This window comes from Homo sapiens, chromosome 5 (assembly GCF_000001405.40).
Source record: "Homo sapiens chromosome 5, GRCh38.p14 Primary Assembly".
Lineage (NCBI taxonomy): Eukaryota > Metazoa > Chordata > Mammalia > Primates > Hominidae > Homo > Homo sapiens.
In genome coordinates, this window is record NC_000005.10 from 70,642,801 (window position 1) to 70,658,657 (window position 15,857).

At 36.4% G+C, this 15,857-nt stretch overlaps 1 long non-coding RNA gene across 5 annotated transcripts in view; it reads right to left on the bottom strand.

Annotated features, from left to right (window-relative positions):
- The window catches only part of LOC107986355 (uncharacterized), a 102,717-nt gene that overhangs the window by 25,991 nt on the left and 60,869 nt on the right, over nt 1–15,857 (bottom strand). For 2 of the 5 annotated variants that reach the window (XR_001742425.2, XR_001742424.2), the window contains 2 exons: nt 9,007–9,071; nt 5,548–5,620 (listed from right to left, as the gene is read on the bottom strand). This is a non-coding gene — a long non-coding RNA (uncharacterized LOC107986355). Of the gene's footprint in view, nt 1–2,883; nt 2,951–5,547; nt 5,621–9,006; nt 9,072–15,857 lie in introns of those variants that run through there. The other 3 variants (XR_001742421.3, XR_001742420.3, XR_001742423.2) reach the window with 2 other exon arrangements.

A 15,857-nucleotide genomic window follows, 5' to 3' on the forward strand; every position in this document is an offset into this window, starting at 1 on the left:
CATTTTATCAAAGGAAATTAAGAGCATAACAATGTGGCATTAAAACAGATTAGGGAGTTCTGAGGGTTGTAAGGATGATGGAACAGGTACATAATAGGACAATATGGGAGAATAATTAAAGAAGTCCTGAGGGTAGGTCACTGAGGCCTTATATGTTATAAAAGGGGGATTTTACTCTAGGAATTGGGAAAGTGTTTGAAGAAAGAGAATAGTGTGATTATATTTGCTTTTTAGTTTGAAAAGAAGTAGCCTGGAAATGAATGAGATTACAGCCAGAGAAGAGAAAGAATATATTTTGATGAAAGAATATATTTGGGTACTGATAGAATAGTCCGGGTTAAAGATGATTTGGACCCTGGCACATGGAGGATGCTGTGGGGTCATAAAGGAAGAAATGGTAATAAAAATAACTAAAGTTTTATTGGATGAAGTTTTCAAGCCAACAAAGCATAAAACACAGACACAAAAACGACGTCTGAAATGATTTCTTAGTTTCTTAGTCATGTATTAGGTGTCAACCAAGACAGGGAATACAGACAGAGCAGTAAAGAGTTCAGCCCCAGACTCAATCCTATATGTGATTTTTGGGCCCATCCATAAACAATGACAAAGACTTGACCAAGTGGGTCCCACAGGGAGAGCTGCCCTCCCCACACTAGTGCATAGTCCTCTAATGGCAGTTTCAGTAAGGGCTGCAGGGCCATGCTCACACACAGATCAGCATCACTTGACTGGTGCCTCCCCTGGAGGCCTCTCCACTGTGGGACCTTGGCAGACCTTCCCCAGGCATGTTTGCCCAAGACCTCCTTTTCATGGGGAGAGGAGGAGGAGTCTTGAAGACAATTGTCTTCCTTCTGATTCAATACTCAGTGCTTTTCCGCTCCCAGCCTTTTCCTGACCTTCCATAAAACTGCAGGCAGGAGCCTGTTGTTCAGGGTTCCTTTGATAGTGAGACAACTCCACATCTGTGCTGACCCATGTGATCCTTGATAGAGCTGTTTCATGAAGGAAAAAAAGGATGGGGACTGGACCGTCAGGGCTTTTTCCAGTTTAACCTCAAAGGTTTGTTAATGTCCTTTTGTCTTGATGTCTTAATTGCCTACTCCAACACCTGGCTCTCTCTCCAGAGTAGTTAAGCTCCTGATGGCTGGGGATAAATTTAATGACTACTGTTTTGTATAAGTTGAGGTTAATCTAATTAATTTACCTAGAGGGAAAATTCTGACCTCTATCTCTGAGACCTCATCTAAAACACAGAGGTCATGAAGATAAATCTGGCTTCTGCCTTCAAGGAGCTTACAGTCTGGTGAAGATGATAGCTGGATAGCTAGACATAACAATAAAACCACAGCTGTTCCCTTGTGATAATTTCTGTTATGAGTTATGTACATTGGAATATGAAAAATATATAAATGGTACATAACCAATTCTAGGAGGTCAGGGCAAGCTTCCTGGGAGAAATGCTGTCTATAGGTAGACACAGAGAGACAAGAATCAAAGCCTCTTCTGAAGAAGGGTTAAATAAATCTCAGGCAGATAGGCTATGCATGACCTGCTTCTTTTATCTGTCATTTTTGTTGTTCAGTTACTTGCTAAATTTTAAGAATTTTATATATATATATTATATTTATAATATATTATATATATAATATACATGTATATATATATATATCTTCTACATATCAGTGCTCTGTCAATTCAGCCTAATTCTGGCAAAAGCATTAAGGACTTCAATATTTACCAGGTTTGAAAGGGGAGCAGTCCTTTGAATTAGAATTATTTGAAAAATGTAGGGCTATTTTGAAACAACTACCCAATTGAAAATGCATGGACACTATAACTATTATACTTGCAGATGCATACAAAAATACTTTTATTGTCACATGGGCACAAAGATGTATATTGAAAGCTGTTCACTGAAACAGTATTTATAATAATGAAACCTGGAAGCAACATATCTCTTAATGGGGATATAGACAAGTAAAGTACAACATATACATGTTATAGAAAAAAATGCAGCCTTCTCAAAAATGGGTAAGCTGTATAGATATAGAAAAGAAAAAAGCATTGTATAAATAATATGTACACTTTAATAAAAGTTGTACTAAATTTTAAATGTAATATAAATATCATACCTTCTATATATATAAAATTATCAAAAAGACTGAATTATAATACATGAAGAGTAGGAAAAAATAGTTGCACTGAGTTTTATATTTTCTGAATGTTTAAATCTTTCCACACAATATGTAATAATTATACTTTTAAAATGAAATACACTAAGCAATAATAAGGAGCTGACCACTGATGTACTCAATAAGAACAAATTTCAAAAAACAAGATGCTGAGATAAAGAAGACAGAAACAAAATAATGCACATGTATGATGTCACTTATACAAAATTTAGAAAAGATATATCCTGTACATAATGACAGAACCTCCATCAGTGGTTGCCTGTGATCAGGGATTGAGATGGTGAGGGCATGTGAGAAGTTTTCATATATGATGGAAATGTGCAGGGGATATACAATTGTCAATATGCATCAAACTGTCTAATTTAATATATGTTTTATTGTATATGATAAATTGATTTTCTAAAAATCATATACACTAACTCAAACTTCTTATAGCTGAACACATTTTATATTAGGTGTTTATCTTATATTTACAGATGATGTCTAGTAAGCCTCAGAGATGTCCAGTGGGATCTGGGATTTGAACCCATGTCTATTTCAATTTGTCCTCTCATTCCCTTTTTACACTCAGCTTTTCTTTTAACATGCCCACATTTTCCCTACGACTACAAAATGAAAATAAACAGAACCTTTATTTTTAAGCTCTTATCCTACTTTGCTTTCTGTGCAAATGTTTTAAAATAATAGTTGACATTTATTCCTTCTACTTCCATACCTCATCCATCTCTTGCATTCTAATGTCCATCGCCCGCTTACTGAAATAGAGAAAAAAGTCACGATCATCCAGCACTGCCAGTGATTCTCAACTTTTTAAGTAATTGACTTTGTGTGTTTCTTCAGAACACTTTCTCCTCTTAAGATTTCTGGTTCCCTTTTATGTCTCCCACTGCCTTTCCATCATCTTTTTGTTTGACTCTTTAAACTCCTCCCTTTTTCCTTTTTTTCCCATGGTCTCTTCAAATATATCTAAACTAATGCGTTCTGCATACTTATTTTGAGTCTTTTTGTGAGGTCTAGTCCAACTGGCAAAATATGGTATCTCAATTTCCTACCATAAACTCATCATATCTCAAATTTAAATTTCTCATCTTTCTTCATGCAAAACACCTTGAACCTCAATTTAAACTTCATCATATTCTTCAATTTCTTCTCCCTTTGTTTTATTACACAGCTTATTTTGGCAAAATCCTAGGGTATTTTAATGTGTTTTTCATGTGCATCACCTCTCCATATATTTACAATTGTTCTGGCAAAAGTTTATATTGATAATTAGTCTTAGTGATTATAATTATGCCCTACTTTTGCTTTCTGTAATTCATCCTACACACTGTTGCTAAGTAATAATACCACTAAATCACAGCTCAGAATATATATTTTATTGCCTGCTGGTTTTCTATATCTATGAGAACATTTATTTCGAATGAAACAAAAACGATTAAACACGTAAAGCTGGAGCACTGAAAAGCACCAGGCATGCTAAGGGCCAGGGATAGACAGATGAAAGAGCATGCCCGCTATCTTTCTCTTAACATTCAAAGACCCGTTAATTTCCATTTCAACATGCACTTTTTGTCAATTTTGTTTTCCACAGATCACTTTCAAGCATCCTTTGAAATAAACCCACTAAGATCATTTTTCCCAGAGCTTGCCCGTTTTGTACCTCTGCTGAGATTTTTCTCATTTCCTGGAATTATGACAATATTAAGCATAACTGTAAAAATTCTAAGTATCATTTGTATAGCGTAATAGTAGATCCAGTCCAACACTGCCTAGAAACTTGCACACACCATTGCATTTCACCCTCGCAACAATTCCATGTGGTTGGTTCAGCTATGTCTACTTCACAGATGAAGATATGGAAACTCAGAGGTGTTACATAACTTGCTACCATCACACAAGTCACAAAATCAAGCCAGTCTGTCACCTAAGAAACCCTAACCCTTCTCACTTTAATACACTACCTTTATTATCCTACATTTAATTTATTTTTTATACAACTTTGCTCATGACAATCTTTGTTCCTTTAGTTGGAAGTTTTTATTCCTCAATTTCCCAAGGGGAAGATTTTACAGGTTAAACATTTTTGTCACTTGTCACTTAGCAACTTAACATTCTAGTCATTTATGCACAAGTTACTATCTCTACAAAACGTGAACAATTTGAAGATGAAAAATTATGTATTATATATCTTAAATCCATCCCACTGTAGTTCTTTACAGAGAGACAGTACTCAGTAAATATTTATAAGAATCATGACATGCAAATGTGCATATTCTCTCTTATTAGAATATAATTTAGAAAATGTACTTGACAAATGAAAAGTAGCATCAGATTATTCTTGTTCAAAATATTCCTCCTTGGTAAACACTAATACCTGGACTAATTTTTGAAGACTGTACTTCTCAGTGGGGGAGAAGAATTGGGAAAAATTCTTTAGTGTGAGAATATCTTAGGGGAAAAGCTATAGTTTTAAAAAATACTGCTTTGTTTTATTCCAGTTATTTCTCTTTTATCAAAATTTTAAATTTGTATTTATAGTTGATATAAAACGATATGTATCTTGAGAGATCGTGTGTCAAAATAATTGAAGGACATTTTTTGTCATTTGTGTGAAATAGAAGAAGTGTTTTAAGTGTAGAAAATGATACCTGTGTGTGATAGAAATAAGTTTATATCCTATGAGCAGGTAACAAAAAAGAAAAAAAAAACTAGCTGGACTTTTTCTCTTAGGATTATATTTTCTTTGGATGACAATGATAAAAGTTCTCTTTACTATGTAAATTTGCCAGTCTAAGAATAGAGTGTATTATCTTACTGAGTTTCATCTTGCACCCTCAGCATCTATTATTCCTATTAACTCCAAGTTCAACCTCCACCTTGCCCTTTTCTTCTTCTAATTGGCAATGGGCAAATCATTTCTGGTCAAGATCAGGAGCTCATCTGTCGCTCTAACCTTGAACATCAATCCAACTCAAGAGCGAATCCCATTAACATCAGACTAATAAATGCAAAGATCCAGTGAAGAACAATAATGAACTTTGGCTCACACATCAGTCTTTGGCACCTCAGAAACTAAGTGTAATGAACAGTAGGTCACAACCTATAGCTTTCATAAAATGTCCCAGTTGAGATAGCATATTACACATTTAAAACAGTAATGGTGCCAGGTCATTCTGTCAGACATTTGTCAAGTAAGGATGTGCTCCTACACATCTAGCTCTTCTAGTAAACCAATATTCAGACACATAATGGCTGCTTGTATCTTCAATTATCTCCATCCTATCACATTCAGAGCTGCTTCCAGAGAGTCCAATACTACAGCCTTAGGCTATGGGATGATGATAGCATACCCTACAAACACATGAGAGCAACCTCAAACCTTCTAAATTGTGCCAGTTCTGGGCTTCTTTTGCATAATCATTTATCTGAAAGGACAAGAAATAATTTGCAATTTCAGAGTGTGATGCAAAAGACACAGATATTGCTCAACTTCAAACTACTGAGGGGAAGAAAAATAAGATTTTGGTTAATGTTCTATGGTTCAAATATAGTAAAGTCATCCTGGATTCCTGTCCTGACCTATTCTTTCCTTACCATTTAATTACTTCTTTTCACCTACTTTTCTCTTTTTTTTTTTTTTTCGAGACGGAGTTCCACTCTTGTTGTCCAGGCTGGAGTGCAACGATGCGGTCTTGGCACACTGCAACCTCCGCCTCCCAGGTTCAAGGGATTCTCCTGCCTCAGCCTCCCGAGTAGCTGGGATTACAGGCATGAGCCAACATGCCCAGCTAATTTTTGTATTTTTGTAGAGACCAGGTTTCACCATGTTGGCCAGGCTGGTCTTGAACTCCTGACCTCTCGGCCCCCAAAAGTGCTGGGATTACAGGCTTGAGCCACCGTGCCCAGCCATTTTTCTCTTTCACTTATTTATTTTAGCATCCTTCTCTCTTCTTATAGCTCATCTTTTATATGTGCTTATTTGAAAATGCACAATATAGTTGTTTTTGATAGACTTAAAATGATTTCTGCGGCATGCTATGAATATGTAATACCCCCGCAATCCACCCCACACATATTTTGAGAATTTTTATCCTTCTTTGTAAAATTAGCCAGAAGTCCCTCTGTTAACACATGTTCGCTTCCTCATTCTTTGGTGAATTTTGTTTTTCCCATAAGACGTATTTTAACACGGGAATGAATAAATGTATAGGGAACATGAGACAACCTGTTTAACATCCTTTTTATACGCCATTGGGGATGATAAAGAGCAATGGTCATTTACTTAACATCTTGGTAATTAGCCGCTTGGAGGTTGCAAGGCCTGTAACCAGTCTTTTTGATGCATCCGCCATTTCTGCAAGTGGCTGGAGTGGAGGTACAAATGAAGCTGAATAGAGGAGAGACTCTGCAACTGTATACACTGATAGAGTAATTGCCTGCTTTGTGAATAGGATGCATTCTGGAAGTATATCAAATATATAGAGCAAATACTCAAATAGAATAGAACAAGAAATGGTTACAGTAAAACAAACTTTTCGTGATATTTACCACTTTTTATATTTTACTCAAAGTGTATATACGTTTTTTTTATATGCAAGATAAACTGATAATTTCAACACAATCTGCACTACTTTGAAAAATGTACACCAGGGCCTTTCATGACTTGTATACAGTTCTGGCCATTCTCTTTATCTCAAACCGAAGAAAGATATGATGCAGGCAGTAGTTTTTTCTTAGTGCCTCATAGTATCTAATAGCAGAAAGTGAGCCGCATAGCGGAGCACATTAGTTTTTATGTATCTACAGGACAGAAGGGCCACTTAGCTGATGGCTCCAGGTTTCCTTTGATATAATCTAATGTTCCTATGACCTCAAAGACTGAACACATTTCCCTAAGTGCTTCACTTAGCACCCAGGAGCAACTTGGAGTCTTCGCAGAATAAAATCCATTATTTTAATGTAGATTAATACATGTGTACTTATATCTATGCAGGTCTATAATAGTTTATTCCTATGTAAGCTTTATTAAAAGCATTGGTATGTTTTACATAAAAAGTTAATGTGAATATTAGAAAAAAAGGACAATATTAAAGCAGTTTGTAGAATTTGTTCCCCCCCCAAAATGAATGAAATACACAATAGATTTTAAAAAAAGAAACAATGAAAGTGAAATGAGGAAAAGGTCTAATTTTCCCCTTAAATTTCACAATGTGTCAGCCAGACAGAGCATAATTTTGGAATAAACAAAAAGCCAGGGAGTCAATACAGGGTTTCTCCTTCTATCAGATATCTTGCTTTGGCAGAGAGTAAGAAGAACATCTCAAAAACCTCATTGGTGTTCTTAAACTGAGGGTGGAGACAGGGCGTGCAGGCTACTTGAGGAAAGACTGGGATGTGTACATGGAACTCACTTGCTCAATATGAATCCATGGCAACCTCAGGTCTAGGCCAGAAGTCCTGTGGAGTATTTCCTTGCAGAGGTTGGTGGTAGAAATGCAGTCTAAGATGAGCCATTGACTCAGCTGGAACTAACTAAAACCAGCAGAGATGGCTAAGCCACTAAAGAAACAAAACTCAACAAAAAATATGGTTGTCCAAATGCCCATCAATTGATAGACTGGATAAAGAAAATGTGACACATATATACCATGGAATACTATGCAGCCATAAAAAAGAAAGAATTCATGTCTTTTGCAGGGACATGAATGAAGCTGGAAACCATCATTCTCAACAAACTAACACAGGAACAGAAAACCAAACAGCACATGTTCTCACTCATAAGTGGGAGCTGAACAATGAGAACAAATGGACACAGGGAGGGGAACATCACACACCAAGGCCTGTCGGGGGCTGGGGGGCAAGGGGAGGGAGAGCATTAGGACAAATACCTAATGCATGTGGGGCTTAAAACCTAGATGACAGGTTGATAGGTACAGCAAACCACCATGGTACATGTATACCTATGTGACACAATTGCACGTTTAGCACATGTATCCCAGAATTTAAAGTTAAAAAAAAAATGGTTGTATCAAACCCCAAATCTTGAAAATATAAAAACTTAAAAAAAAGTAACCCACTCCCCTTGAAGCAAGGACAGGCGCACCTTACACGGGAACAGACATCCTCTGAAATGCAATTATTTTGCCTTTTGTTTGTTTGTTTGCTTTGTTTTTTCTACTATTTCTTTTTAATTGAAAGAGTAATAATGCAGTAATAGAATTATAACTGGTGGCATCACAGGGCTGCATATTAGTAACCTTAGCTGAAGAGCTGTATAAATATCTCATGCACATGTTCTGAAAGAAGTGGAGCTTTATGGCCCAGAGTGATAAGGAGGAAAAAATAAAAAATGCCTCCATACATTCAAATTTTATTAAAAGTTGAATTAAAACATAAACATGTGACAGATTTTAAAATTTAATTATTTGCAAAAGCGTTTTTTGAAATTTACCTCCTAATGTTTTGCCTATAAATTCATGTTTTTATAAATGAACCTTTTTTATTGCTAGAAGGTGGCAGGTTCCACATCATTCTTATTCCTATATCATTATTTTTATAAGATCTAAGAACTGAGAAATCTTGTTCTCAGAAATAAGTGGATAGGATTGGAAGGGCTTTGTTATAACAATGACATTTGATTCTTTGAACTCCTTTGAAGAATGACAACAAAAATTGCAGGTGTCCATTGACAATTCAACTAGGTATTTCTTCAAATTTTTAAAAGTAATTAAAAATCTAAAACAAAACAAAACAAAACAAAAAACACAAATGATTAGCAAGATTTTGTTACCCAGTCATCAAGGTGACTTACTTTTGAGAAGTGGAGATGAATGTTTTGAATTGCCCCTTCGTTTTGCATCCTGGAAATTTCAACACCTGGGGACAAAGCACCAAGGTAAAGTTAAAAAAAGTGGAGATATATTTTTCTCTTTTAAAAAAAGAAACATTGTGGGAGAAGAATTCTTTTGAAAAAGAAGAAATGAAAGAGGGACAGCAAGAATGATGAAAGAAGTATTCGAATGTGACACCTGGAAACCTGTTCTTTAAAAGTCTTTGCCTGGCCGCAGTACGCCTCACAAAGTCTTTGTGTAATCTCCAGGGTTAGCAGGCCTCAGATCAAAATTAGAAGCCTAAATGGCAAACTAACCAAATTGGTTTTTTTTTTATAAAGTAAAATCTCTCAATTCACTTTTAAAATAAACTTAATCTGGTTTGAAGTGTCCCTATGACAACCATCTCAATACTGAATTTTAATTATATGATAGGTATGTAGCTAATTACATCAAATAATAGTTAACAGTTAAATCGATCTCTGGCTGTATTTTTATTTTTATTTTTTTGAGAGCTTCTCTCTCTGTCATCCAGGCTGGAGTGCAGTGACATGATCTCGGCTCACTGCAACCTCTGACTTCTGGGTTCAGGCAATTCTCATGCCCCAGCCACCCAAGTAGCTGGGACTACAGGCAGGCACTACCATGCCTGGCTAATTTTTTGTAATTTTTTTGTATTTTTAGTAGAGACAGGATTTTACCATGTTGTCTAGGTTGGTCTTGAACTCCTGGCCTCAAGTGATCCATCTGCCTCAGCCTCCCAAAATGCTGTGATTATAGGCGTGAGCCACTGCGCCTGGCCTCTGGCTGGTATTTTATAAACTTAATAATGAAGAACTGATTCTCTACCGAAAAAAAAATGTATATATACAAAAAAAGAAAATGGTGAGGTATGGTGGTGCATGCCTGTAGTTCCAGCTACTCAGAAGGCTGAGGTTGGAGGATTGCTTGAGCCCAGGAGTTCAAGGCTGCAATGAGCCGTGATCATGCCACTGTACATCAGCCTGGGCAACAGAGCAGGACCCTGTCTCATAAAGAAAAATAACAACAACTACCACAAAATGAAGAATTGGCGAATGTAGTAACTAGATCCAAGTTCATGGTTCTTACAGTTACCACTTCACAAGAAAAAGCCTGTAAGATTTAAAGCTGAGGATCACATGGCTAGTAACACTGAAAGAAGCACTATAGAACAAGGGAGACGAAGTCATTCTGAACATTCAGATTACTTATTTTTAACAAACAACTTAATATCTCTATCTTTTATATACTTTTCAGATTATAAGTGTAATTATGCTTTAGAGATAAAGACAACCATGCAAAATCGTCAAAAACACTTCCTTGTAAAATGAGCCCTTCCTTCAGCTGACAGGGTTGACAGGAGATCCCAGGTGGGGAAAACACACCAAAAAGATTCTTATACTTAGGCTTTGCTCCACTAGGGACATTCACAAACAATCTCCAGGACATATTGGTTTCCTTGGGACTAAGGTATTTGTACAATGTCCATTTATAGGGGGTTAAAGTGCCTGTGATAGTGGTTGAAAGTTTTGACCCACTTTTACAGATTAATCAGCATTGTGGTGGTTACAGAATTTCCAGATAAGGCATGCTTGCTCTTCTCTAGACAAACTCATCCACGATATCTTAGTAACACTGATTCTGAGATACCTTTAGTATTTTAGGTAGATCCACACAGTGTGATTGCTAATGTTATTTGTACGGATTTAGGAGCCACCGAGTGGCTATCATTGAACTGTCAAATAAATCTCAATACCTAGTTAAAATTCTTTTACAAGTAACTTTTCATAAAGAGGAATAAATGTTTACAGTAAGGGAGTATTTTGTTTACTTGGGCAGCTTTCTATGAAGAGGAGCATTTCTTGCAAAGCAATATGCCTGAGAATTAACTTTAGATTTCATTTCTATTTCACTGGAGTAGATATGTTTAAATTAACTTATAATTTCTTAAGGAGTCAGATAAAACATTAATTTTCTTTTTAATTTCTATACTTGCAGCTAAGAGTCGAAAATGAACCTAAGAGCCCTTCATTCCAAAATCATGCACAATTTCTAGTGCTTGTCTACTATCTACATAAATGTTCTCTCTCTCATATACTCTTCACTTTTTGCCTCAGGCTGGATTGTGAGTTCCAGTTACAAAAATTGATTCAGCAACCCAGGCAGATGGAGTCTTCAGAGATAAGAGAATATCCAAAACAAGGTTAATTTTCTCTATTCTAGGTGAAAACTGTCAACAGATAATGTAAGATCAGAGTTAATTAAAGTTATGCCATTTAAGTCAGTTTTGGACAAGATGAGAGTTTGAATCACTGTCAGCTAAATATGTGGTTGTCCTTCATCCTGGAGGGGAAAAAGAAGGCAGTTTAAGATTTGTGCATTTTTGCTAATGTTATGAGATGTGAATAGCAAAGTAATCTCATCAATAGTAATAGTGTGGGTTGAAATATACTGTGTTACCTTATAGAAATGTTTTCTATCATACACGGGACCAGTTGGATACTGTAAAACTGACAGGGAAAAGAAAGTAAGAGGATTCTACTAATTAAACAGTATCTACAAGATTTCACAACAAAGGGGACACTGTTTGGTAACATTGTCTGGAAGAGTATTTGTTTAAGTAGTAAGTAAAGGTTTGGCATAATTAAGTTCATTTAGTGTAAGGGTTGCTACAACGTTTCCTCAATAGTTATAAAAATAAGCTAAGACTGCTCAAATGAAAAGAAATACAGGTTATTCAGTCAGAGCTTGCTGTAGCCAGGGAGTTGGCCACCATCACTTGCAATATGGCAACGAATCAAAGGCAGGCAGGCAGTGAGAAAGCTTTATCATGGGAAAACCAGAAGGCTGCAGGAATGCCCTGGTTGGAAATTATTGTCATGGGGAATCTAAAGGTTGGATAACTAGAAGCAAAACATCCTATTTGATGGGTGAAGCTGCATAATTAGCATTCTCTGGTTGGTTCTAAATTGGAAGCTGGAGGGAAACACTTAGGGAAGCTGGAAGTTACCCACCAATTCCTAAGCATTTGGACCAATCGCTGCAGACTGGTTGCTGCAGAGGTCAGAGTTGATTTTCTGTGTGTGGAACCACCATTGTCTGTTAGTGTATTCAGTCTCTCATAGTATAAAGGCCGAAACTGCTTCAGGATCCAGATAAGAAGCTCTAGAAATTAAAATTTATTAGGGTCATGTAGTCCTTAGTCTGCCTCATGGACATAGTGATTGGTCTAAAGAAGCATTCTTCATTTCTGCTGCCCTAATCATATTATTCCAGCTTCCACAGACTGATTCAATAGGTCCCGAAGCTAAATTAAGAACCAGTACATTTGAACTGGAAACAAAGAAAGAGTAAGACTCCACTGGAAAATGGGAGACTGTGAAACTAGGAATTGACAGTGACTATCTCTACAGCTGTGACAGACGTCAACCTGAGAGATAAAGCTGAGACCCAGAAGGCAAAGAATGTTACATACACAGAAAGAACATGTAAAATTGGAGCATCTATGTTTCTGCAACACATGAAGTATAACAATACCCCACCTTTCTTGAGATATTGCCTATGAGCCAGTTAATTACCCTCGTTTGTGAAACTGTTTGTCTCCTGCAGCCATTGAATCCTGATTAATACTCATTAAATCTCTATGATGTCATAGTATATATCAGGCACTATGGCTCATATTATTGTTTTCCCCTGATATTTGGTTATTTTCTTTTCAAGGCGCATGGAGACAGACCTCTACCTGCAATGCCCCCCTTGCACTTGGACAGAACCATGTAACTATTTATAAGCTATGACACATGAGCAGACATGACATGACGGGATTGATGGAGCAATGACCTCATCTTTTCTCCTGCCAAATATTATGAAAGAGGACTCAAGTCACTCACCTAAGGGACACTGGCTGAAAGTCAGTAATGAAGCTGAAAGGTCGCTAAATGCTGGCAAGTGAGATGGATTATAGTGTCTAGACTTTTTCCTGAGGTCATTCTATATCCAGCAGATATCTTTCAGTATATAGTCTATTCAAAACAATGTGCTAGTGACTATTGAGTGTGGTTACATTTTTTTTTTTTTTTTTTTTGAGATGGAGTCTCACTCTGTCCCCTAGGCTGGAGTGCAGTGGCACAATCTTGGCTCACTGCAACCTCTGCCTCCTGGGTTCAAGCAATTCTCCTGAGTCAGCCTCCTGAGTAGCTGAGACTACAGGCACCCACCATCACGGCCGACTAATTTTTGTATTTTTAGTAGAGATGGGGTTTCACCATATTGGCCAGGCTGGTCTTAAACTCCTGACCTTGTAATCTGCCCACCTTGGCTTCCCAAAGTGCTGGGATTACAGGAGTGAGCCACCAAGCCCAGCCAGTTACATTCTTTAAACAAGGAGTGGACATACCCTGAAACAAGAGATTAGTCAAAGAGATTTTGCTATTCATGGGACCTAAAAGGTGGCTGTACTTCCCTTTACTGCTTTTCCATACACAGCAATGCACGCTGTATGGGTTCTTATAGGTCAGAGCGTGAAAGAGAACCAGGACCTATAAAAGAATACAAGTCTCTAAAATCAGAAAGTTTATTATTTAAAAAAATAGTTATGTGCCAGTCTGCTTATAATTTTATTTTTATGACTGAGAGTGCCTTTCATAAGCACATTCTGGCAAACTATAAAACAAATAAATTGAAATTGAATAAAACCTTTAGACATTAGAAGTGTAGCACCAGATTTAGTACATAACTGCAAAACTTAAACATGCAATTTTACATCTGCAAGCACATTAAATTGAAAGAAACTTTAACTTAATTTAGATACATTAATTGATACAAACTTTTCTGGTATATAGCACTTCTTGGCGCATTGAGTATTCTTAATCTTTAAGGCACATGAATATAATACCTTAGGAAAGATCTGTTCTCCACACATTTCCTCTATAAAGTGCCAAAAAAAAATAACGAAGAGCCAGTTTGTCTTCCGCATCAGTGTGATTTAGCATACATAAATAAGTATCTTTTCACACAAAATAAAAGGTTCAGAACCCAAAGTGTCTGATTTTTATAGTGCTTTTTCTTTCCTTTTAAAAAGATAGCAAGATGAGGGTAAGAGGTAATTTAAGAGAAGTAATCATCTTCTAACAGCCAGCTTGCAGAAACTAAAACAAATATCAATGATGTAAAAATGTTGTTTTGACACTTTGGTAAATGAAAGTGTGAGATGAGTAAGAATATATTATAGGTGCTTGTATATCAAAGGCCTGTGAAAATGGCTGATTATAAAGGAGAAAGTTAATGATCTCTAATTGTGTTGTAATGTAAATGCAGTATCACCGTAATGAAGAGAACAGATTTGCATGTTAACAAAAGAAATATTAGAGGAGTGAGTGTAGGATGTTTGGGATAATTAATTCCATCCTCCACTCCTACATACATATGCATATACAAACTCAATTCAATTTTAAAGAGAACCCGAAGAACCAAAAATAGACTGAACACACTTGATGTTGTATGGGAGCTTAAATTACTATTTTTGTTGTTCTCTGTGACTATCTCATTTAGTTTCTATTGTGTTTGCAATTTCTTCCAAGGTGATTTTTAATGGATTGAGTAATGCATAAAAATTTGCAGAAGTATGCAGAAAGTTTGTATGCAGGGCCATGTAGAGCTTTTATCCTACAGTAAATCCTAGTAGTTTGCTGGTGCTGTGTGATTTTTTTTGTTTGTTTAGGGTTTGTGTGTGTGTGTGTGTGTGTGTGTGTGTGTGTGTGTGTGTGTGTGTGAAGCTTATTTATTCCATTTCAAGAAAAAGAAAAATAGACAAATTAGAATACCAAAAATAATTTGCAGCCAGTATCAACCAATTTATATTCAAGCTGAAAAATTAAAATAGCTTTCAGAGAATGGTAGAAGCATATTATTTAAAAAACAAACTATGAAGAAATGGACAGAAGCATGTAGACATAGATAACAGAAATTTAAAGTAAAAAGTAGAAAATGAAATTATTCCCTTTTATACCTGAAAGCAAATGATTTCCATGATTCTAAGCCTCTGTAAAAAGCAGCAACAATTTCATCATTTTCCTATTCACTCTTCATATTATCTAAATCAGGATTCTGCAAAATTATTTTCCTTGAATTACTTTTAAAACATACCAGAAATGAATTCACTACTCTAATTATCACAGCAATTCAGGGAATTATTAAAAATCAAATCAAATCAAATGAAACTTCGTAAGTTGTTTACAAAAAAACTTCAGGTTCATTTGCTTTTAATGCAAGACATGGCAATGTATCTCGGCCTGTGGATGTCCTCTCCATGTTAATAGTAAGTGCAAGTTTATGAAAAGACTAGACACCGACACCACCTGGGGAAATCAAAGCTTACTTACCTAAAATGCACAGGAGCCAAGAAGCATGTTTAAGTTCATGGGAGGGTAATGAATGCTGTTCTCTAGAACATGTTTCAAGGAGCTGGACACGTTTCCTTACCAGGGGAGACTCACACTGCAGATCATAATTTCTGAGCAAGTGAGAAGTGAGAGTTCCATTGCACCTGTGGGAAGCTCTATCCTCCAAAGTGTAGCTTTACACACCCAGCTTGAGTCATTCTTCTTTCAGGTGTATCTGGACATACTCCAGGGACTAGCTTATCTGTGCCTGGTGCACTTCATTTATCACGATTAAACAATATACAATTTGACTGAAGGGCACAGTATAGGTCAGTGCATTTATGCATAACAGCAGGACTTATTAATCATCCTCAGCTCCTGCAGGCTAAGAAATCCTGCTTAAAATTTATTTGCATGCTTAGAACTAGAAC